We start from the raw sequence: 25,287 nt of genomic DNA on the forward strand, positions 1-25,287 counted from the left end.
CATAATCAAAATTAAGTATCTGACAACACACTCGAAAGTTTGGGAGAAATAGAAAAGTGTTTGTGTCTTCCCCAGGCCCACAGTTCCAGTGCCCTGTGCTCCCTCATTGTCATGGGGTTGCCATGGGCCCCACAGGATATGGGAGGCACAGAGCAGATGGTGGCTGAAGGTGGGGTGTCTTGTGGGACCAGCTTCAAGATCAGAGACCTTGGTTCATTGTATTGAAATCAGCCAGCTCAGGAAAAGAGACCTTGCTGCCTCAAGCTCTATGTCCATCTGCATTAGCGATGTAAGGAGGCTTGAGCACCCATGGGCACACAAACCCATCCCACTCCAATATTTCATCAACTATTGAGGAGTCTGAATCCATGTTCTTGAGGAGCATATGCTTCTGCAGTTACAACCACTATGGAAAACAGTATGGAGATTCCTTAAAGAACTAAAGGTTATCTACCATTTGTTCCAGCAATCTCAGTAATGGCTATCTCCCCAGAGGAAAGGAAGTCATTATATGAAAAAGACACTTGCACATGCATGTTTATAGCAGCACTATTTGCAATTGCAAAAATATGGAACTAGATAAAATGCCCATCAATATTGAGTGGATAAAGAAAATGTGGTACAGGTATACCATGGAATACTACTCAGCCATAAAATGGAACAAAATAATGGCATTCTCAGCAGCCTGGGTGGAGTTGGAGACCATTATTTTAAGTAAAGTAACTCAGAAATGATAAACCAAACATCATGTATTCTCATTTATAAGTGGGAGCTAAGCTATGAGGATGCAAAGGCATAAGAATGATACATGAATTTTCGGGGAGGAAAAATGGGAGTGGGTAAGGGATAAAAGGCTACACACTGGGTAGTGTTTACTGCTCAGATGATGGGTGCGTCAAAATCTCAGAAACCACCACTAAAGAACTTAGCCATGTAACCAAACACCACCCGTTCCCCTAAAACCTATTGAAATTAAAAAAAAGAAAAACCATCCCAATTTCTCATTTTAAAATTGGGAAACTGAGGCCCCAAAAGAGGCTGGAAATTAGAGCCCCTAAATAATAGAAAGCCCTGTGCTCTCCTTCTCCACATGGGCTATTTTTGTCTCCATATTCTCAGATAAGCACACACAGACACACACACAGAAACACTTCTCAGGGAAAGATCATGGAAGCGAGGATAGAGAAGAGGCAGACAGAAACCAGGCATAAGACAAGGAAAAAAAAAAAAACCCAGAATAGTGGCAGCTCTGCTATAAGCCAGTGCATGCACTCCTCTAGCTACGTGTCCAGGGGCACAGAGAATGAGCAGGAGGATCCTCCAGGTTTCCAGGGTTCTCCATCAGCTGGGGTCATCTCCAGGTCAGTTTCAAGAGGACAGGACTGGGGTCCTACTGTCCAACTCTGTAGGTACCTGAAATGGAAATGAGCTATGTCCCCATCTCAGCCTAGCATAGACAATGGCTACAGCAAAGCCTTTTCATACCTCATAAATAAGAGTACTTGAAGTGGGTGACCTCAATGGTTTCACATACCCATAAGTGTCTGCTGGCCTTTGTTCTTCATTGGTGAACCAAGACTCTTTGCTCTGAGACTGCAAAAATGCTTCTACTCCCTGGAAGTCCTTCAGAGTGAGGCATGGTCACCCCAGAGGCATCTTGGGTAGATAAAGCTGAGATAGAGCGAAATGTGCCATATAACTGGACTCTGAGTCTGAAGCCCAGGGAAAATACTAGTTCCTGTTGTGTTCTTGAGATGATCATTTGGAAGTGGTAGAAAACAGTTTCCCTGGATGAGGGGTTGTCCCTCATGAGTAAAGAGCACACCCCAAAAGGTGGAGGCAAAGAGAGGACAACGGAGGCTTCCAAGGTTACTCTTATCGCACTTGGAGCCTCCGGATGCTGCTCCTTTGTCCCCTGGGACCCTGGAGAGCCAGTGTCTTGAGGACCCAAACATAAAAATAGCTTTGTTCTGTGAGGCTCCTGCATGGGGCTGCAGTGCCAGTGATGGCCTCTAGGTGGTGAGAGCCTTCTGGGTTTTTGGTGCCCACTGAGCTTTGCTGGAGCAGCTGGAGCAAAGAAGTCACACCGAGGTCATGCACCTTGAGTTATTATTAACGATCCCCATATTATCAAGTGGTCAAAAGCAGGAAGGAGAATTTGAGATTCCCCCATGCATTCACTTAGCCAGTCTTTCCCTTACACTCACCCTGTGCCAGCTACCCTGGTGGACCCAACATGTGGTACAGAAAATGATTGAATCATACCTGCACCGTACCCTGAGGACCAGTCTGAGGACAGGTGACCAAAAACACTAAAGCAAGTATACGTGAAAGAAAAGAGCAACTGCTATAATATAAAGTAGAATGTTGACAGAAGAGCTGGGAAATCATGACATGGAGTGACCCAAATGCCTCACTGAGATGACATTTATACCATGATGACAATGACAATAGGGAGCCAGCGCTGCAAAAGAATGTGTCAGAAGAAGCCACCCTTAGTAAAGAATCTCACAGGTGTGAGTTGGGCAGAAGTTAGAAAGGGACCACTATGGCCGCAGAGAGCCTGAGACAGAGAAGCAGAAGGATGGAGAATCTTGGGGCCTGGGAGATGAAGCTAGTTATCTGCTTCTTTCTTACAACATTGCCCTGAAACTTAGCACCTTTCAACAACAAATACTATCTCACAATTTGTGGGGACCAGAAACTGGACACAGTTTAGTGGGGTGCCTCTTCCTCAAGGTCTTTAGGAGGCTTAGGCCTCATAAGAAGCTGGACTTCTCAACAGAAGCTGGACTGGGGAAGGATCAGCTTTAAACTCACTCATGTGGAAATTGGCAAGACTTTGTGTGGCCTGAGAGCCCACGTTTCTTCCATCTATTGGCCTGAGCACTCCCTCAGTTCTTTTTATGTGGGTCTGTACATAGAGCATCTCGTAGCATTGGAATTTGCCTTTTCAGTTTGAGGAATACAGTACAGAAATAGATAATTAAACAGAAAAACACAAAAAGAGAGACTGAGGGAGCAAGTAGGAAGAAAATGACAGCTTTTAGAAAAATATATATATAATCTTGAGAGTTATGATTTCTCCCCCTATATTTGCGTGAAAATTCTAACCCTCAGAGTAATGGTACTATGAGGTGGGGCATCATTAAGTCCTGAAGGTGGGGTCCTCATGATTGGGATTACTGGCTTTAAAAAAGATACCCCAGGGGGCTCTCTCCCTCCTTCTGCCAGATGATAAAACCCGAAGTGTGCAGTCTGCAATTCAGGAGAGTCATCACCAGAGCTCAGCCATGCTGACACCCTGATCCCACATTTCCAACCCCTACAAGTGTGAGAAATTAAGTTCTGTTGTTTATAAGCTTCCTAGTCCATGGTTCTTTGGTATGGCAGCCTGAACTGCGACAAAAATGATACCCTATCATTCTGTACTCCATTGGACAGAAGCTGAATTTTTGTCCCCAAAGTGTTGAAACAAAACAAAACAAAACCTATGACTAAAATAAGTTGGGTTTTCCTAATGACAAGAAACAACTTGTTGAAACACTGAAATTTCCTTTGCTTAAGAGATTTTTTAAAAATGGGCTGAAGTTGGTTGGAACTAATATGGCCATCTGAAGCCTGTGAATAATAAGCTTGCTGATGTCAGGACCCAAATTATCATTGCATGTTTCTTTTTCTTTTCTTTCTTTTTTTTTTTTCTTGAGACGGAGTCTCGCTGTTGCCCAGGCTAGAGTGCAATGGCACGATCTCGGCTCACTGCAACCTCTGTCTCCTGGGCTCCAGTGATTCTCCTGCCTCAGCCTTCTGAGTAGCTGAAGTTACAGGTGCACACCACCATACCTGGTTAACTTTTGTATTCTTAGTAGAGATGGGGTTTCACCATGTTGGACAGGCTGGTATCGAACTCCTGGCCTCAAGCAACCCGCCTGCCTCGGCCTCCCAATTGCTGGGGTTACAGGCTTGAGCCACTGCACCCAGCCTACACCATAATTTTTATATGTTTTGTCTTATATACACCTGATAAATTCCCTAGGAGGTAGATGCTAGCATAATCCCCACTGTGTATGGTAGGAGGCTGGGGAAGCCCGAAAATAGACAATGGCTTTTACTGAGTCACAGAAATGGTAAGATAAACAAGGTTCTGACCCAGCTGTCTCTTCTATTATAAAACCAAGGCTGCATTTAGGTCTTCCCAGGGAATTAAGGGGAAGGTGTGATTTCATAATTACATACAAATGGAGGCCTGACATGGGAGAGGAGGCTGAGTAATCAGTAGCCTGGCGGGGCCTCTGGATAGGTCTTATAGTAAGAAGGGGCCCAGTGGAAGGAACCTTGAAGAGTCTAACATACTTCCTTGGTGATGGAACCCAACAGAACTTAGGAAACCAGGACCCCACCTCCTAGAGACAACTCTGTATCCAGCTTCTTTGGTGAGAGATGCTCAAGAGAGTAACATGCTCTTCCATGGTATTCTTACATTTCTGAGTTTTAGCCTTACAAAGGCTCAAAGTAAAAGCCTTCTCCGATAATGCAGATGTCCACTTAGCCCTCATTTCTAATGAGGTGCACCCACAGATAACAGGGCAACCCAGAACAGATCCAGGCCAGTCCTCTCTTGTCGTTTCATCTAGACAGCCCCACACCACCCCCCACTGCCATGTATTGCAGGGGCATCAAGAGGTGAGGGCATTCTTCCTGGACAGAACCAGGTTGTCAAATGTTGAAACTCTTGTGGGTCTGTCATTTTCATACCCAGGTCATGGCTGGCAAAATGGGGACGAAGTTTATCTACTCAGATGTGAATCCCAAGACTTTAAGCTGTCCTCTGGTTTCCTTCCTGGCTGAAGATCTATGCAGATGTTCCTATGTGCCTGATCTGAAGAGCAAAACTTCAATAGAGGAGTCATCTATGGTAAAAACAAGGCAGGCAATCAATCTTTTTTAGCTTGGCTGCTGGGCACTGTTTACAGAGCCGCATTCAGATTAATGAGGAGCTGTTTGATGAGTCTAACTCCTCCATCTCTTTGGAAAAAGAGCAGGTGCCCTACACCACTAACCTTGGCCAGCACTGGGCTGTGGTGAGAGCAGGCACCTAGAGGTCTCTATAGCTAGGAACCTGAGAAGACCAGGACAGGCCCAGGTCCCAGACTGAAATATGGAAACTCTCTGACCTCTGTCCTAGGGCCTTCCCAGGAGTGACTCATAGTCCTGTTTCAATACAATCTGGCCTTCATTCGTCCCAGTGGCAACTTGGTTAGGTGGAAAGTCTCTGTTCACATACTTGTAGAAATATTAGAGGAAAGGCTTTCATCTTGTTTTCACTTTACATCAAGCCATGAGCATTTTTGCATGTTGCTACAGTTTGTATTGTTTTAACTCCCCACCCCAGGCATCTCCTGTGGCATGCAGCTTCAGTCCTACAGAACTTCTCCAAAACTTAAAAGCCAACACTATGACTAGGGAAGTTTTTATGCAAAAATGGGGGAATGTGCTGTACCAAAAAAGGGGGTGAGACTACTTTACGCATGTTCCTGCAATGTGTCATCTCAAGAACTGATCCCCATATCCCATCAGGGAAGGAGGTGTGCATGCACATGTCTTTATAATATTCCATAAGTGAGGCTCTTCCCCACCGTGGTTCAGTCTTTCAGTGCTGATGCAGCCTGGTATAACATCCTATTTCCATGTCAGTCATGCTGCAGGGAATATTGTGTGTGTGTACTAATAGGCTGTAATCGTTTGCTAGGACTGCCATAACACAGCATCACAGAATGAAGGGCCTTAAAAACAGCAATTTAGTTTCTTACAGTTCTGGAAATTAGAAATCTAACAGATGTTGGTGGAATGACTTCTCCAAGCCTCTCTCCTTGGCTTGTAGATGGCTGTCTTCTAACTCTGTGTTAACAGAATCTTCTCTTGTGCTTCTGTCTTTACTACCTCTTCTTATAAGAACCCATTATATTTAATTAGGTCCCATGCCAATGAACTCACAAGCTTAATTACCTCTTTAATGACCCTGTGTCCAAATACATTCACAATCTGAAGCAATGCTCTTTTTGCCTTTGTAAAGGAAGTTTGTCTGTGGCAAATGAATAAATGGCAGAATTTTACATCATGGGGTCAGTACAAAAAAGGGAGGTGTGCAGGGGATTTAGGCCACTTTCCTTATGTTGGGAACTCTAATGTCACCATCTGAAGGGCCACTTATGAACAGAAGAGTTATTATAGTTATTATTTCTTTTTTATTTTTTAAGGTGGAGTCTCTGTTGCCCAGGCTGGAGTGCAGTGGTGTGATCTTGGCTCACTGCAACTTCTGCCTCCCAGGTTCAAGCGATTCCCCTGCCTCAACCTCCCGAGTAGCTGGGACTACAGGCGTGTGCCACCACCCCTGGCTAATTTTTTTTTTTTTTTTTTGTATTTTAGTAGAGACAGGGTTTCACCATGTTGACCAGGATGGTCTTGATCTCCTGACCTCATGATCCGCCCGCCTTGGACTCCCAAGGCAATTCTTTTAGCCGATCTTTGTCCTTCACACAGACATAACAGAGGTCCCTGGGTGCTGAAAGACGGGCCTCAGGCCCACTTAGATATTTTGGAAGGCTGTGGTTAGGCTCCATTCACTAAATACACGTATATTAAGCACTTAACTTGCGCAGTCCCTTTTGTAGCTGCTTGGCATAATTCAATGAAGAAAGCAGATAATCACAGGGCCTCAATTCTATCTGAAGAGTTAAACACAGTAAATATTAACAGGATGTCCACTGAATATTAAATGGTGATGTCCTCACGGCAATTTTAATCTCCTGGAGCCACCAACTCACTCCAATTGGAACACTAATTATGGAGTGTGTATTACACATGGTAGTGCTTTTCTGTGTTTGTTCACTTCATTTATGACTAAACAACACCATGTCTGATGTAGAGACGTAAGAGTTGATAAAAAAAGAAACAAACACTACCATGACTGATGACATCTCCCTAGTGTTCACCTAAAGAAATTAACCCAATAAGATCAATAAACTCAATGTTAATTATAAAAATTAAAAGAACAACAAGGCCAGGCGCAATGGCTCACGCCTGTAATCCCAGCACTTTGGGAGGCTGAGGCGGGCGGATCACGAGGTCAGGAAATGGAGACCATCCTGGCTAACACGGTGAAACCCCGTCTCTACTAAAAATACAAAAGAATGAGCCGGGCGTGGTGGTGGGCGCCTGTAGTCCCAGCTACTCGGGAGGCTGAGGCAGGAGAATGGCGTGCACCCGGGAGGCGGAGCTTGCAGTGAGCCGAGATCGCACCACTGCACTCCAGCGTGGGCGACAGAGCAAGACTCCGTCTCAAAAAAAAAAAAAAAAAAAAAAAAAAAAAATTAAAAGAGCAACAAAGGAAAGATTGGCTTAGAGTTCTCCAATTGAAAAAAAATGTACTAAATAAAATGTTACAACATATTTACTATGAAATTACATGTTCAAATTATTTTGCAAGCACCATTAAATTTTGTAAAAATTATTCCAATAATTCCCGAGCAGATTATATAAAGAATACTTTATAAACTTTGGAACAAGAAAACTGGCCGGGCATGGTGGCTCATGCCTGTAATCCTAGCACTTTGGGAGGCTGAGGCGGGTGGATCACAAGGTCAGGAGATCGAGACCATCCAGGCTAACATGGTGAAACCCCGTCTCTACTAAAAATACAAAAAAATTAGCTGGGCGTGGTGGTGGGCACCTGTAGTCCCAGCTACTGGGGAGGCTGAGGCAGGAGAATGGCGTGAACCTGGGAGGTGGAGCTTGCAGTGAGCAGAGATTGCACCACTGCACTCCAGCCTGGGTGACAGAGCAAGACTCCGTCTCAAAAAAAAAAAAAAGAAAATTATGCATTAGGTCTACTATCAATACCAGGCAAGTAAAACCTAGATTTACTTAAGGAGATTCTGAACTAGGAACCACAAGATTTTGAAAAAATGAATTCAATACAAATGGGAAAAATAGATTTGCTTTGAAATTGTTTGAGGTTTCCAGTTTGGTAGTAACTTATCAACACTTTAAAAATTACCAGTTTGTTCTAACATATTTTCTTTCTTCTCAAAATAGGTACACATCCACATTCAAATACAATTACTTGCTTCATAATTCCCTTACACTTTATCTTTAGAGTAACATATTTGTATATTAAACTTTCATGTAAGTGAAAACTTAAAGAGTCTATGTGTGTCTGGAAGGCCACAGAGGTTGCATGTTCAAAGAAAAATGTGAGATAACATCTTCTACATACTCACTTAAGATTCAGAAATATATGGCTTTTGATTATATGCCTGTGTAATTTTCATAATAATCATCTTAATGACTCTATAATTAGAAGAAAAATAATAAAAATGTAACCTATGGAAACAATATTCTCCAACGTATTTGAAGTTTAAAGTCACTAAGGATAAGAATCACTAGAGATGCCATTCCACTATATTACTGAATAGTATGTTGTTACCGTCTGTTACCTAGAGACTTGAGTAAGGTAAAATAGGTTAATGTTGGTGGCAGGATAACACCTAATTCAATGCACAACTGTCTTAACACATTAAAAATAATTGTTTTATTGAAACTAAGTTCACACAGTCTAAGAAAAGCATTACAAAATCCACTATACTATCTAATGTGCAATTGGTAAAACAATTTACTAAAATTTGAATAATGCACAAGACTATTACTCTGAACATCTATCTCATGCAGCACTTACAAGTTTTATAAGTCAACCACAAAAGTTTCTCTGTGTACTTTCTTCACACACCTCATATTTCAGTGTCCTCAATCTTCTGTTGAAAAGTATGTAAATGACATCCTAATATAGAACTTCTCAAACCCCGAGCAGCAGAAATTGACCACATGCTTTCATACAGACACTAGGAATAAAGACACAGCATCAAGTAATTTGAGAGTTCAATTACATCAAAATTTGCCTTTGTAAAAATCTAAAATTCTTTCAATGCAAAAAGTGTACTTTGAATATAATTGTTTAAGTCTCAAAATATTAATCTCCTATTTCTGTTTAGGCTAACTAAATTATGTTAACCTTGAATTACTCTTTATAATCAATGCCCTGATTTAGAATAACATTGAAAGTGTTAGCGTCTTAGTGGTTTCTACTGTGAATCTTCTGATGTTCATTTAGACTTAATTTTTTATTAATTTTTTATATTTACTGCATCTGTTAAATGCTTTCATATAAACTAGCGTTCTTTCTTTTTTTTTGAGACAGAGTCTCTGTCGCCCAGGTTGGAGTTCAGTGGCGCGATCTCGGCTCACTGCAAGCTCCGCCTCTCGGGTTCACGCCATTCTCCTGCCTCAGCCTCTCCCAGTAGCTGGGACTACAGGCACCCGACAACATGCCCAGCTAATTTTTTGTATTTTTAGTAGAGACAGGGTTTCATCGTGGTCTCGATCTCCTGACCTCGTGATCCGCCTGCCTCGGCCTCCCAAAGTGCTGGGATTATAAGTGTGAGCCACCGCGCCCGGCCTTAAACTAGTGTTTTCTAAGGTGTACTTTTTAAACAATTTTTTTCATATTCATTACAGTTGTAGGGTTTCTTTCCAATGTAAATTATCTAAAATGGAATAAAATTTGAGCAACTGTTAGAGGGTTACCTTTCAGTATAAATTCTCCTATGTACAACAAAATCTGTAACATAAGTAAAAGTATTGCAACAATCTTTATATTTGTAATGTTTTTCTTCAGTATAAAAACTCTTGTGTACTCTAAGGCTTATATTTTTGAAGTCTTTCCATGTACAAATGTAATGTATCACTATCATTACACCTTGTGTACTCTAAGGCTTTTATTTGGTGACATCTTTCCACAGATAAATGTAATGTGTATCATTACACTTACATTGCTTTTATCTAGCACAAAACCTCTGATGAGTAAGTTCATAGTAGTTATTAAATGCTTTGCCACATTCTTTAAAATCAGAATTTTTCTCAGCATGAATTTTCTTCTGTGCAATAAGCTGTCAGCAATGGTTGAAGACTTTCCCCACATTCTTCACATTTGTAGTGTTTCTCTCCAGTATGAATTATCTTGTGATTTCAATGCCTTGAGCAAGATTTATGGAATTTGCCACATTCTTTACATTTGTAGGATTTCTCTTTAGTAAAAATTCTTACGTAGTAAGGTTTGAGCAGTGATTAAAAGCTTCCCCACATTTTTTATACTTGCAGGATTTCTCTCCTCTTTGAACTCTCTTATGTTCATTAAGATGTGAGCACCGTTTAAAAGCTTTGCCACATTCTTCACATTTATAGCGTTTGACGGCAGTATGAATTTTCTTATGTCTAGTAAGGTGTGAGCACCGATTAAAGGCTTTTCCACATTCTTCACAGTTGTAGGGTTTCTCTCCAGTATGAATTCTCTTATGTTCAGTAAGGATTGAGGACCAGTTAAAAGCTTTGCCACATTCTTCACATTTGTAGGGTTTCTCTCCAGTGTGAATTCTCTTGTGTTTAGTAAGGTATGAGAACCTCTTAAAGACTTTGTCACATTTTTCACATTTGTAGGGTTTCTCTCCGCTATGAATTACCTTATGTTCAGTAAGAATTGATGATGAGTTAAAAGCTTTGCCACATTCTTCACATTTATAGGGTTTCTCTCCCGTATGGGTTCTCTCATGTATAGTAAGTAGTGAGCAGTGGTTAAAGGCTTTCCCACATTCTTTACATTTGTAGGGTTTCTTTCCAGTGTGAATTGTCTTATGTTTGGTGAGATGTGAGTGCCGGTTAAACGCTCTGCCACAGTCTTCACATGTATAGGGTTTTTCTCCTGTATGAATTTTCTTATGTCTAACAAAGGGTGAACACCAGTGAAAGGCTTTTCCACATTCTTCACATTTGTAGGGTTTCTCACCAGTATGGATTCTCTTATGTTTAGTAAGACTCGAGCACCAGTTAAAAGCTTTGCCACATTCTTCACATTTGTATGGTTTCTCTCCAGTGTGAATTCTCTTATGTTTAGTAAGGTATGAGAACCACTTAAAGGTTTTGCCACATTCCTCACATATGCAGAGTTTCTCTTCAGTGTGAATTATCTTATGATAAGAAAGGCCTGAGTGAGATTTAAAGACTTTGCCACATTGCATACATTTGAAAAGTTTCTCTGTAGTATGTCTTATGTTTTCTCTATTTAGATTTGATGATTTACTAAAGACTTTCACACATTTATTATATGGGAAAATTTTGCTAGGTAGAGTTGACAAACATTGGTTAAGTCCATTATAAATTTCTTTTTGATCCTTACACTCACCCACATTTTCCCCATCCTTCCTTAAGTGTAAATCCTCAAGTCCACAGCTTCCATATCTTCTCAGTATCACTTTTTGGAATGAATCTTGCATGCACTGTTCTGGCAAAAGGTCTTCAGTGTAATGAGAAGACATAGCTGAAATATGAAATTAACAAAATATCCCACTTGTTATTTTCAGACTCAGATACATATACTTTACAAATCTAATACAGAAAATTAAGAAAAGGACAGGATGACTTACTAGATGCAGCTGGGAAACACTCACTCCAAGGAGAGAAAACAAAATGTTGAGTAAAACATCATACTTTAAACAGATCTTTTGAGAAAAAGCTTAATTCAGAGGTAATGCAGAAACTGTGGTTGAAGAGGAAGATGGGAAGCTTGCTCAAAGTCACTGGGCACCAGGACTGGCTCGTAGATCCAGACCAGTCTTATGGAAGGGATATGTGAAGAAACCCCAGGGCAACACAGTCTAGCCATGGACCTCTGAGATTCTCACTTTGGTTCCTTCTCCTTGAAAGGCATTTCCCAGCTAAATCTAGTCTGAGCTCCTGATTATAGACTCTCATATGATCCCTATACATCTGTGAACTGGCAGGGGGAGCCACCTGGAGAATAGGCAGAGGCACAGCTTAAACTCTTGTGGAAATCTGCAGTTTTCACTGTGCTGTGCAGCTGTAGCTGACCATAGGTGCCCATCCTCCGAGGCTCTGCATCTTGCACTGAGGGGATCCATCTGCTGCTGTCTGCCAGGCTGAGAGAGAGCAAGGTTGTAGCTATCATGGGACTGAGGTGAATCTGATCCATGCACCACTTTGCCTGCTGGCACCGTCCAAGATGACCTACCTGGCTGGTCCTGCAGAAGGGTGCCCACAGCATGGCATCCACTTATATCACAGATGGTGCTTGACCCCAAAGGGCCAGAGGACAAATCCATGGGCCCAGTGCCAACTGCCCAGGTCTTCAGCACACTGCCTGATAATATCAAGCTGATATATGTGGTCTGAGCTTAAGTGGGGTAGAAGCCCACACTGTCAGCACACAGAGAAGTCATGGGATCATGAGCCAGCATGGGAGCTGAGTTCCCCTTCATTCACATGAATAAACTGGGAAGGGTGTGGCCAGATGACCAGTCATGGTTTCCATCCCAGGAAGCCTAGCAGCATAGAACATCTGGAAGAACTCAGCAATTTCAATGCAGATGGCTTGGGACAAGCCTAGCCAATTCAGCCTGCTCCCAGGGAAGACACTGGAGACAGACCTGCTGAGTTGGGGGACCACAAGCTGGGTGGGCCCCACAACTACCTGCTGGACTAAAAATCCTGGGCTGCAGGTGCAATACTGGTTGCAAACCCATGGTGCAATTGCCCTGCCTGGTGTTCCATCCTCGAGCCATGGCATCACCAAACGACTCACAGACACATTCCATAACCCATCCTTACTTTTGCAAGCAAAGGAGAACAGCAGGACCCCTGATAAATATGGGTCTCCTGGTGACCTAAAAGTGTGAACTGTCCCTAAGGAAGGGTAAGCACAGACCACCAAAGCCCTCCTTGGAGCAAAGGAATTGGGTGCAGTGCCAGCAGTTGAAGGGAATATCACCAAGGCCCCAAAATAAATTTGGAAAGAAAATAATCTCTCACACACTATCTTCCCTCCCCAGAGCACTCTTAAGTGCCATCTACTTGGACTGAAGCCTGAATTACACCACCAAACAAGAATACATTGCTTCAACATGAAGCACTCTATGAAATCCACTGCAGGAACTTATCTACAACCAAGGGACCTAGACAGAACCTCTGCCCTCTGAAAACAACCTTAAATGACACCAACTGATTATACACAACATACACCACAGCCAAACCCTCAAGGAAAAAAAGAAATAAAAAAATTTTAACACCCCATCCAAATGACAGAAAATTCAAAAGGAAAAGAAGCACCAGCTCCCTCAGATGTGAAAGCGAAAGAAAGCTGGCAATACAGAAAGCCAGAGTGTTTCGTTACCTCAAAAGGATCTCACTAGTTCCTTTGAAAGAACCAAACACAACTTTAAAAGTTGAAAATTTTACTACAGGACTTTCAAAATACAATTGAAAGCCTTAAAAACAGAATAGACTAAGCAGATGAAAGTATTTCAGAGCTCAGAGACTGCTCCTTTATATCAACCCAGTCAGAAGATAGTAAAGAAAAAAGAATTCACTACAAAAAAACAAAGCTTCTGAGAAATATGGAATTATGTAAAGGGGTCAAACTTATGACTCATTAGTATTCCTGAGAGAGAAGGAAAAAAAGTAACCAACTTGGAAAACATACGTAAGGATATAATCTACGAAAAATTTTCCCATCTTGCTAGAGAGGTTGACACAGAGATACAAGAAATTCAAGGAACTCCTTTGAGATACTATACAAGACAACCATCCTCAAGGCACATAGTATTCAGACTTTCCAAGGTCAACATGAAATACAAAAATAAAAGGCAACTAGAGAAAAGGGCCATATTACCTAAAAAATGAATTCTATCAAACAGTGGACCTCCCCACAGAAACCTTACAATCTGGAAGATATTAGGGGCCTGTTTTTAACATTTTTAAAGAAAGAGGCCAGGTGCAGTGGCTCACGTCTGTAATCCGAGCTTTTTGGGAGGCCAAGGTGGGCAGATCACCTGAGTTCAGGAGTTCAAGACCACCCTGGGCATCATGGTGAAAGCCTGCCTCTATTAAATACAAAACATTAGCCTGGCATGGTAGCGTGCACCTGTAGTCCTAGCTACTCAGGAGGCTGAGGCACGAGAATTGCTTGAGCCCTGGAGGCAGAGGTTGCAGTGAGCTGAGATTGCACCACTGCACTCCAGGCTGGGCCACAGAGCGAGACTCCATCTCAACAACAACAAAAAAAGAGATTAAAAAAAAAAAAGAAATTCCAATCAGGAATTTTATGTTCCAGCAAACTAAGTTTCATAAGCAAAGGAGGAATAAAATATTTCTCAGACAAGCAACCACTAGGTGAATTAACTACCACTAGACTGGCATCACAAGGTGCTTAAGAGTGTTCCAAATATGGAAATGGAAGAATGATACCTACTACCACAAAAACACACATAAGTACATAGCCCACAGACCCTACAAAGCAACTGTACAATCAAGACTACAGAGTGCATGAAGGGAACAAAAACTAAGATATCAATATTAACCTTGAACACAGCAGTCTAAATGCTCCACTTAAAAGACACAAAGTGGTGGCCAGGCACAGTGGCTCATGCTTGTAATCCCAGCGCTTTGGGAGGCTGAGGCAGGTGGATCACCTGAGGTCAGGAGTTTGAGACCAGCCCAGCCAACATGGTGAAACCCCGTCTCTACTAAAATACAAAAATTAGCCAGGAGTGGTGGCACATTCCTGTAGTCCCAGGTACTCGGGAGGCTGAGGCAGGAGAATCACTTGAACCTGGGAGTCAGAGGTTTCAGTAAGCTGATATCGCGCCTGCACTCCAGCCCGGGTGACAGATCGAGACTCTGTCTCAAAAAATATATTAAAAAATTTAAAAAACTGGCCAGTGCGGTGGCTCACCCCTGTAATCCTAGCACTTTGGGAGACTGAGGCGGGCAGATCACCAGGTCAAGAGATCAAGACCATCCTGGTCAACATGGTGAAACCCTGTCTCTAATAAAAATACAAAAATTAGCTGGACGTGGTGGTGTGCACGTGTAGTCCCAGCTACTAGGGAGGCTGAGGCAGGAGAATTGCTTGAATCCAGGAGGCAGAGGTTGCAGTAAGCCGAGATCGTGCCACTTCACTCCAGCCTGCCAACAGAGCGAGACTGTCTCAAAAAAGAAAAAAAAATTTTTTTAATTAAAAAAAAAGACACAAAGTGGCAAATCAGATTTAAAAAAAACCAAGACTTAACCTTCTGCTGACTTCGAGAAACTCACCTCACGTATAATGACACCCATAAACTCAAAGTAAAGGGAAAAAGTAACATCTATCACACAAATGGGAAAAAAACAAACAAAAAAATGCAGTGGTCACTATTCTTGTATTAATAAAACAGATTTTAAACCAACAACAGTAAAAAAGACAAACACATTACATAATAATAAAGGATTCAATAAATAAATAGATAAATCAACGATATTTAACTATCCTAAATATGTATGCACTCAACATTGGCACACCCATGTTTATAAAGCAATTATTACTGGACCTAAAAAAAAGACTTAGCCAGCCACACAATAATAGCGGAAGACAACACCTTACAGATAGCATTACAGATCATCAAGGCAGAAAACTAACAAAGAAATTCTGGACTTAAACTCAGCACTTGACCATAGACATCTACAGAATAATTCATCTAATGAAGACACACATACATTCTCATCTGCGCACAGAATATACTTTAAGATTGACCACATGCTCAGTCAAAACAGATTTCAAAAATTCAGAAAAATTGAAATCATCTTCTTGAAACAGAGTGAAATAAACTCAAAACTCAATAGCAAGAGGAACCCTCAAAACTACACAAATATAGAAAATTAAACTTGTTCCTGAATGACTTTTGGGTAAACAATGAAATTAAGGCAGAAATCAGAAACTTATTTGAAACAAATAAAAATGGTGACGAGGCCAGGCGTGGTGGCTCATGTCTGCAATCCCAGCACTTTGGGAGGCCGAGGCAGGCGGATCACGAGATCAGAGGTTCAAGACCAGCCTGGCCAACATAGTGAAACCCCATGTCTACTAAAAATATAAGAAATTAGCCGGGCGTGGTGGCAGGCGCCTGTAATCCTAGCTACCTGGGAGAGTGAGGCAGGAGAATCACTTGAACCCAGGAGGCAGAGGTTGCAGTGAGCGGAGATTGCGCCACTGCACTCCAGCCTGGGTGACAGAGTGAGACTCCATCTCAAAATAAAAAAAAAACAGTGACAAAATGTAACAAAACCTTGGAATGTGGCAAAAGCAGTGTTAGGAGGGTTTATAGTGCTAAACTTTTATATCAAGAAGATAGATCTCAAGTTAACAACCTGATACCATGCATAAAGAAATGAGAAAAACGAGAACAAAGTAAATCCAAAGCTAGAAGAAGAAAAGAAATAATTCAAATCAGAGCAGAACAAAATAATATTGAAACCAAGAAAACCATTCAATTAATCAAAAAAATAAATTTTTCTGAAAGATAAACAAGATCACTAGATCACTAGCTAAGTTAACAAAGAAAAAAAAGGATCCAATAAGCACAATCAAAAATGACAAACTATCAATAGACTAAACAGACAACCTATTGGGAGAAAGTATTTGTAGACTATGCATCTGACAAGGAACTAATGTTCACAATCTATAATAAATTTAAATCAAGCCAGGTGTGGTGGCTCACGCCTGTAATCCCAGCACTTTGGGAGGCCGAGGCGGGTGGATCACGAGGTCAGGAGATCAAGACCATCCTGGCTAACACGGTGAAACCCCGTTTCTACTAAAAAATACAAAAAATTAGTGGGGCATGGTGGCGGGCGCCTGTAGTCTCAGCTGCTCGGGAGGCTGAGGCAGGAGAATGGCACGAACCCGGGAGGCGGAGCTTGCAGTGAACCGAGATCGCGCCACTGCACTCCAGCCTGGGCGACAGAGCAAGACTCCGTCTCAAAAAAAAAAAAAAAAAAAGAAATTTAAATCAACAAGAAAAACAGAAATAATTCATTAAAAAGTGGTCAAAGGACATGGTCATTTCTCAAAAGACATAAAAGCAGCCAAGAAACATGAAAAAATGAGATAAAAAGGGAGAAAAAGAAGGACAAACAGCAACAAAAATCAAAACAATAAAATGGCAATAGTAACCCCTTCTCTATCAGAAAATTAAAATTCATGGTTCATGGAATAAACTTCCCAATCGAAAGACATAAACTGGTGTAAAAACAAGATTCAACTACATTCTTTTTACAAGATACTCACTTTCAATCTGAAGAAGACAATAGACTAAAAGAAGAATGGTACAAGTCATTCTATTAGAATGTTAACCAAATGAGAAGAAACTAGGTCAAAATTACATAAGGCAAACTACATTTTAGGTCAAACCCTGTTATAAAATATACTGTAGTCAAAATTCTCACAAGAGACAAAGAAGGACATTATATAATAATAAAAAGATTAATTTATATATGTTATAGAAAACTATAACATATATATTATCATCAGGGTTCCCAAATATATAAAGTAAACATTAACAAAATTGAAGAAATACACAGCAATATAATAATAGTAAGATATTTCAATATCCCACTTTCAGTAATAAGTTATAAAGCAAGGTGGAATATTAAATATAAGAACAGAGGACTTCAAAGCACTCTAAAAATTACACCTAATGGACATATAGCAGAATACACAGTCTTCTCCATAGCTCATAACACATTCTCTTGGATATACCACTTGTTAGGGCACAAAGCCATTCTTAGCAAACTTTTTTTTTTTTAATTTTGAGACTGAGTTTCGCTCTTGTTGCCCAGGCTGGAGCGCAGTGGCGCGATCTGGGCTCACCACAACCTCCATCTCTTGGGTTCAAGCGATTCTCCTGCCTCAGCTTCCCTAGTAGCTGGGATTACAGGCATGTGCCACCACATCCAGCTAATTTTGTATTGTTAGTAGAGATGGGGTCTCTCCATGTTGGTCAGGCTGGTCTCAAACTCCCGACTTCAGGTGATCCGCCTGCATCGGCCTCCCAAAGTGCTGGGATTGCAGGTGTGAGCCACCATGCCTGGCCTAGCAAACTTTTAAAAATGGAAATCTTATAGACTATTATTATGACCAAAATGGAATGAAACTAAAAATTAGTAATAGAAAAAAATCCACAAATATATGGAAATTAAACACATTCTTAAGCATGCTCGTGTTCAAGGATTTGAAGAATTAATACTGTACAACATCTTTACAGTGCCCAAAGTAATGTTCAGATTCAATGCAATCCCCTTCAAATTCCCAATTTCATTTTTTGCAGGAATAAAAAAGCAATGCCCAAATCAAATAAAATCTCAAGAGACCATGAAGAGCTAAATAATCTTTAAAATAAAGAAAGGTGTTGGAAGCATCACACTTCCTGATTTCAAAACACATGACAAAACTACAGTAATAAATGCAGTTTAGTACTAGCATAAAGGCAGACAATTAGACCAATGAAAAAGAATGTAGCACAGATATTATCTTTCATGTATATGGTCAAATAGTTACTTGCACACCCATATTAATTGTAGCATTATTCACAAAAATCAATAGGTGAAAGAAACCCAAACTTCTCTCACCAAATGAATAGAAAAATACAATTTATAATATACAAATAATGGAATAATACTCAGCTTTTAAAAAGCAGAAAATTGGGTCGGACGTGTAGGTTCATGCCTGTAATCCCAGGACTTTGGGAGGCCCAGGTGGGCGGATCATGAAGTTAGGAGATCCAGACCATCCTGGCCAACATGGTGAAACCTCGTCTCTACTAGAATACAAAAAAAAAAAAAAAATTAGCCAGGCGTGGTGGCACGTGCCTGTAGTCCCAGCTACTCAGGAGGCTGAGGCAGGGGAATCGCTTGAACCTGGGAGGCGGAGGTTGAAGTGAGCCGAGATTGCGCCACTGCATTCCAGCCTGGCAACAGAGCGAGACTCCATCTCAAAAAAAAAAAAAAAAGCAGGAAATCTTCTAACATGTACGATAAAGAGAAATCTGATGGCATGATGCTAAGTAAAATAAGCCAGCCATAAAAAGACAGGATTGTATAAATCCATTTAAATGAGACATCTAAAGTAGTTACACTCAGAAACAAAATAGAGAGGTGTTTGTAAAGGGTCAGTCAAGGGGGAAAATGAGTAGTTTCGTGTATGTTGAGTTTGAGTTTCCCAAGATAAAAACATGTGGAGATACACTGCACGACAATGTCAATATACCCAATACAACAGAACTGTGTAACTGAAAATATTTAAGATTCTAAATTTTATGTTATGTATTTTGCACAATTAAAAATAAACAATTACACCTAAAATAAAGTTATAAAGCTTTTCAAAAATTACCTTCAAATCACAAGTGTTTCTCTCACAAAAAGAAAATATACATCCACCAATGAATAGATGTTGAATTTACAACAATTCTCATGACTCCTCATCTAAACAGGATAAAACCATCACTGATGACCAACAAAAATGTAAATATAAGAGTCACAAACAAAATGGGGTAAAACCTATTCAGTCAAACACAGAGATAATTAAATTGGTAATAAACATATGGCTGATTCATATCTGACTTTTGCCTCACACTGTCTTAAAATGTACAGAGCTGAATACTGTCATACAAAATTATAATATATGAATAAAAACTAAAAAATATAATGAATGTCAAATGGCCTATTATAAAAACTGTAACAAATAAATATAAAATTGCAAAGCAAAATTAAAAGAAACTATAACCCATAAAATTCTGAATAAACATAGTGGAGTACTGATGAAGAATTCTTCTAGATAGCTACAATTTTCAACCATGACTGGCTATCCATAAAAAGCATACATTTTTGAATCAAGAGCATACAGTTAGAGCATTAATATTTCACAGAAACCCCATTATAATTATTCATAAAAAGCTTTGAGAAAATAATTTTTAAGAAATAAGCACTTACATAATACTAGGGAAACTTATTAATATGTTGCTCTTCTTTTTACACAAAATGGTAAGGCTGTAATCTAGCCTGCAGAAGCAAAGAAAAGACTTACATCTTTTACTGTAAGAACAATATAAATATTGTAAAATACGGTATAAAACACTGATTATGAATTAGGAATAAATTATGCTATCATTCAGATAAACGTTGAGGAATATAGATGAAAATGCAAAGAAAGCTTTTTACGTGCAGGCAACTTAATTATACAAACTAAGCCGGGCATGGTGGCTCAAGCCTGTAACCCTAGCACTTTGGGAAGCTGAGGCGGGTGGATCGCTTGAGCTCAGGAGTTCAACACCAGCCTGGACAACATGGTGAAACTCCATCTTTAGAAAGAATACAAAAATTAGCCAGGCGTGGTAGCACTCGCCTGTACTGTCAGCTACTTGGGGGGCTGAGTCAGTCTATAGAGCCAGTCTATAAATATTTATTTTATAAATTTCCAAATGTCATCCAGAGATCACAGGGCATAGAGAGAAGACAGGAAATATATTCCTTTAAAGGAATAAAATGATTCTTCGGAAATCAATTTTTGAGAAATGAAGATCCTTGTATTATCTGACAGGGAATTCAAAATAATCATTTTAAACATGTTCAATGAGCAAAAATAGAATGTAGACAACTAAACAGAATCAAGAAAATAGTGCATGAGGAAATGATATATCAACAGAGATTTAAAAAACTATTAAAAGTATTTTTTAAAAAAACAAAAATTGTGGAACTGAATACAATAACTAAGTTAAAAAAATTATTACAGAGCCACAACAGATAACTTAATGAGGTAATAGATGGTATCAGCAAATTAAAGACATTTCACTTATAAATATTGAGTCATAAAAGCAAAATAATACTGCCAACAAAGAAAATTTTACCTGGAAAAATTTACCTCTAGAATAAGGATAAAAAATAAAGACTTTATAAGGTAAACAAAAGCTGTCAGTCTTTGTCACCATGTGTATAGTTCTATAAGAAATGGTAAAGTAAATATATACACAGATCTACAATTCTCTACTATAATAATAATGCATAAAACTGAAAATCTTGCCATAGAATTTAATAAACCAAAACACAAATTTGCATAAATCTGTTAATAGATACGCAATACGAAATGATATAATGTGACACTAATAACAAAGGATGTAAAAAGGTATAGTTTTATATTCAACTGAAGTAAAGATGAGATTTAAGCATATTGTTATGTTTCATAAACTCTCATTTTTCAAGGTGATCACAAAAATACCTATAGAAGATATGCAAAAGAAAATGAAAAAGGAATCAAAGTATGCCACTACAAAATTAACAAAACAAAAACAAAGGCAGTAAGAGAGGAAATGAGGGAAAACGTATTTATGACAAGCACAGAACGTAATCGAAAACAAAACGCAACTAGTAATTTTATTTCTTTCTGGTATTATTTTAAATATGAACAGATTGAACCCTTTAAAAAAGTAAAATAGCTGAATGAGTTAAAAACAAAATCTTACAATATGCGTCTTTAGGGGACTCATTTTAGTTTTAAGGAGACAAACAGGCTGAAAGTGACAGGATACAAAAATATATTCCATGCAAACAGTAAGCTCAAGTGGGTGGGGTGGCCATAGTTAGACAAAATCCACTTTAAGTAAAAAATTGTTACAAAAGATAAAGATTGGTATTATATAATGGCAAAATGGATCCATTTACCGGGAATCTATAACACATATAACTGTTATATAACTATAACACATAGCACTCTCAAATATATAAAACAAATATTGACAGAAGGTAAGCAAGAAATACACAGCAGCACAATAATTATAGATTTCACGGCCTCATTCTCAATCATGAATATAAAAAAACCAGATAGATCAATAAGAAAATAAAAAACTTAAAACATTACAGACCAATTAGACCTAAGAGACACATACAGAACGTTCCAGTTAAAAGCAGCAGAATACATGATATTCTCAATTACACACAGAGCATTCTGTTAGGACACATAACAAGTCTTAATAAATTTAAGGAGACTGAAATCATACAGTGTATATTTTCTGACCAAAATGGAATGAAACTAGAAATCAGAAGCAGAAGTAAAACCGTAAATCCAAAAAATGTGGAAATTAAACCCACTCAAACATATTCTTGCTCAAGGATCAGATAATTTCATTTTGTTAAGATGTCAACATGCACAGCCACGTACAAATTCAATGTAATATCTATCAAAATCTCCATGGTAGTTTTTATTTTTTTTTTTTGCAGAAATATAGTTAAGATTCTCAAATTCTTTTTTTTTTTTTTTTTTTTTTTTTTTTTTTTTGAGACGGAGTCTCGCTCTGTCGCCCAGGCTGGAGTGCAGTGGCGGGATCTCGGCTCACTGCAAGCTCCGCCTCCCGGGTTCACGCCATTCTCCCGCCTCAGCCTCCCAAGTAGCTGGGACTACAGGCGCCCGCCACTACGCCCGGCTAATTTTTTGTATTTTTAGTAGAGACGGGGTTTCACCGTTTTTAGCCGGGATGGTCTCGATCTCCTGACCTCGTGATCCGCCCGCCTCGGCCTCCCAAAGTGCTGGGATTACAGGCGTGAGCCACCGCGCCCAGCCTCTCAAATTCTTTTAGGAGCTATAACTAGCAAAACACCCTTTAAAAAGAACAACAAAGAGGTATTACACTTCCTGGTTTTATAACACATTACCCAAAGCTATAAAGATAGAAATAATGTGGTATTAGCACAAAGAAAAATAAATGGATGATAAAACAAAATAGCTCAGAATTAAGCACGTGTGTACATAATCAAATAACCTTACATAAGATTGCTATGGCCACACAATGGGGAAGAAAACAGTTTTTTCAACAAATGATGTTGAAAACTGAGTATCTACATGAAAAAAATAAAGTTGAGCCCTTCCGTTACATGCACCATATAAAAACAGTATTTAAAATGGATTAAATACTTGAACATAAAAATATAACAAACTTCCTAGATAAGTATATGGGGGAAAATATGACATTGGACTTGGCACTAATTTCTTGTTACAAAAGACCAAGAATTTGATGTCATTTTCTTAGCTCTGAAATCAAATGCATAAGGAACAAATAATAGAGAAATGGGACTACATCAAACTTCAGAATTTCTGCACATCAAAGGAAAAATTTAGTGGGGTGAAAATGTCACCTAAGAAATGGGTGAAATATTTGAAAATCACATATTTGATAGGAGTTAATTTTCACAATATATAAACAATGTCTAAAACTCAACAAAAAGTGAGTTACTTGATTAAGAAACAGACAAATAATTGAACTGACATCTCTCCGAAGAAGTTACATAAATAGCCTATAAGCATTTGAAAGGATGCTCAAGATTGCTAACTTTTAGACCAACACAAAGTAAAATCACAGTAAAATATTACCTCAAACCCATTAGGAGAGCCATTAACAACTGTAACCACCCCCCCAAAAAAAAGTGTTACGGATATGGAAAATTGAGAGGCCTTTTGAGCCACTGGTAGGCAAAAATGATGCAACTACTGTAAAAAACATACTATGAAGGTTTTTCAAAATATTAAAAATGGAATTACTATATAATCCAGCAAACATGGAAAATCCTATTTGATACTGTTCTTGGCAGTTATTTTTTGAGGTATGACACCAAAAGCACAGCAACAAAAGCAAATATAAATAAGTGGGACTGCATCAAACTGAAAATTTTCTGCACAGCAAAGAAAATAATAGAAGGAAACTTACAGGATAGAAAAAAATATTTGCAAGCCATACGCCTGATAAGAAGTTAATATCCAGAATATATAAGGAACTCATACAAATCAAAGGCAAAAACAATAATAAGAATGATAATAAGAACAAAACTGAAAAACAGACTGAATGGATAGATATTTTTCCAGTGAAGACAAAGAGCCAACAGGTATGAGAAAAGGACCTCAACATCACCAGTCATCAGGCAGGTGCAAACCAAAACAATGATAAAATATCACTTCACATTTGTTAGGATGTCTATTATCAAGAGACACTTATATTTTTTGGGTGATGTATACCCTAAAAGCACTGACTTCACCACCATGCAATCTATCTGTGTAACAAGGTTGCACTTGTACCCCACAAATTCATACAAACAAAAAGAATAGGGCTGGGTATGGTGGCTCATGCCCGTAATCCCAGCATTTTGGGAATCTGAGGTAAGAGGACTGCTTGAGCCCAGGAGTTCAAGGCCAGCCCTAGCAACACAGTGAGACCCCTTCTCTTAAAAAAAAAAAAAAAAGAAAGAAATTTTAAGCATAAAAACATTTTTAAAAAGAGATAACAAGTGTTGACAAGTTTCTGAAGAAAAAAATCTTGTACACTGTTGGTGTGTTGTAAACTGGTAGAGTCATTATGAAAACCAGTATGGACGTTCTTTAAAAAATAAAATTAGGCCAAGCACAGTGGCTCACACCCGTAATACCAGCACTGTGGGAGGCTGAGGCAGGCGGATCACGAGGTCAGGAGTTCGAGACCAGCCTGGCCAACATGGTGAAACCCTGTCTCTACTAAAAAATACAAAAATTAGCTGGGCGTGGTGACAGGCACCTGTAATCCAAGCTACTCAGGAAGCTGAGGCAGCAGAATCGTTTGAACCCGGGAGGCGGAGGTTGCAATGAACTGAGATTGTGCCATTGCACTCCAGCCTGGGTGACAGGGTGAGACTCCATCTCAAAAATAAATAAATTAATTAAATTAAATTAAATTTTAAAAAAATTCCACATAATCCAGCAATCCCACTTCTGTGTATGTAACCAAAGGAAATAAAATCAGTATTTCTAATATTTGCATCTCCATGTTCATTTCACAATTGCCAAGACATGAAAACAACCTGAATGTTTGTGGACCCTGACTGGATAAAGAAAATATGACACATATACACAATAGAGTATTATTCAGCCATAAAAAAATCATGAAATCCTGCCAACATTTCAACAACATGGATGGACCTGGAAGACATTATGCTAAGTGAAATAAGCCAGACACAGAAAGAAAAATAATGCATGATCCTCAGCTCTATGGGTAATCTAAAAAGGATGAACTCATAGAAACAGAGAGTACAAAGCTGGTTGACCCAGTCTCGAAGTGGGGAAAATGGGAAGATGTTCAATGAGTATATACTTCCAGTCCTGAAATGAATTAAGTTTTGGGGATCTAATGCATAGCATCATGGCTATAGTTAATCATAATGCTCTATATCAGGGGTATCCAATCTTTTGGCTTCCCTGGGCCACAGTGGAAGAATTGTCTTGGGCCACGCATAAAATACACTAACACTAATGGTAACTGATTAGCTTTTAAAAAAATCTCATGT

At 39.4% G+C, this 25,287-nt stretch overlaps 1 protein-coding gene and 1 pseudogene across 7 annotated transcripts in view; one reads left to right on the plus strand and one right to left on the minus strand.

Moving 5' to 3' along the window:
- Positions 1-13,387, plus strand: part of BNIP3P12 (BCL2 interacting protein 3 pseudogene 12) — a 65,535-nt pseudogene extending 52,148 nt beyond the window's left edge.
- The window catches only part of ZNF682 (zinc finger protein 682), a 44,375-nt gene that overhangs the window by 720 nt on the left and 18,368 nt on the right, over positions 1-25,287 (minus strand). For 3 of the 7 annotated variants that reach the window (NM_033196.3, NM_001077349.1, XM_047439655.1), the window contains one exon: positions 8,568-11,425. In NM_033196.3, the coding sequence (NP_149973.1) occupies positions 10,155-11,425 (1,271 nt within the window). In that variant the 3' untranslated portion in view covers positions 8,568-10,154. The other 4 variants (XM_047439658.1, XM_047439657.1, XM_047439656.1 and 1 more) reach the window with 4 other exon arrangements.

This window comes from Homo sapiens, chromosome 19 (assembly GCF_000001405.40).
Source record: "Homo sapiens chromosome 19, GRCh38.p14 Primary Assembly".
In the NCBI taxonomy this organism is placed as follows: domain Eukaryota; kingdom Metazoa; phylum Chordata; class Mammalia; order Primates; family Hominidae; genus Homo; species Homo sapiens.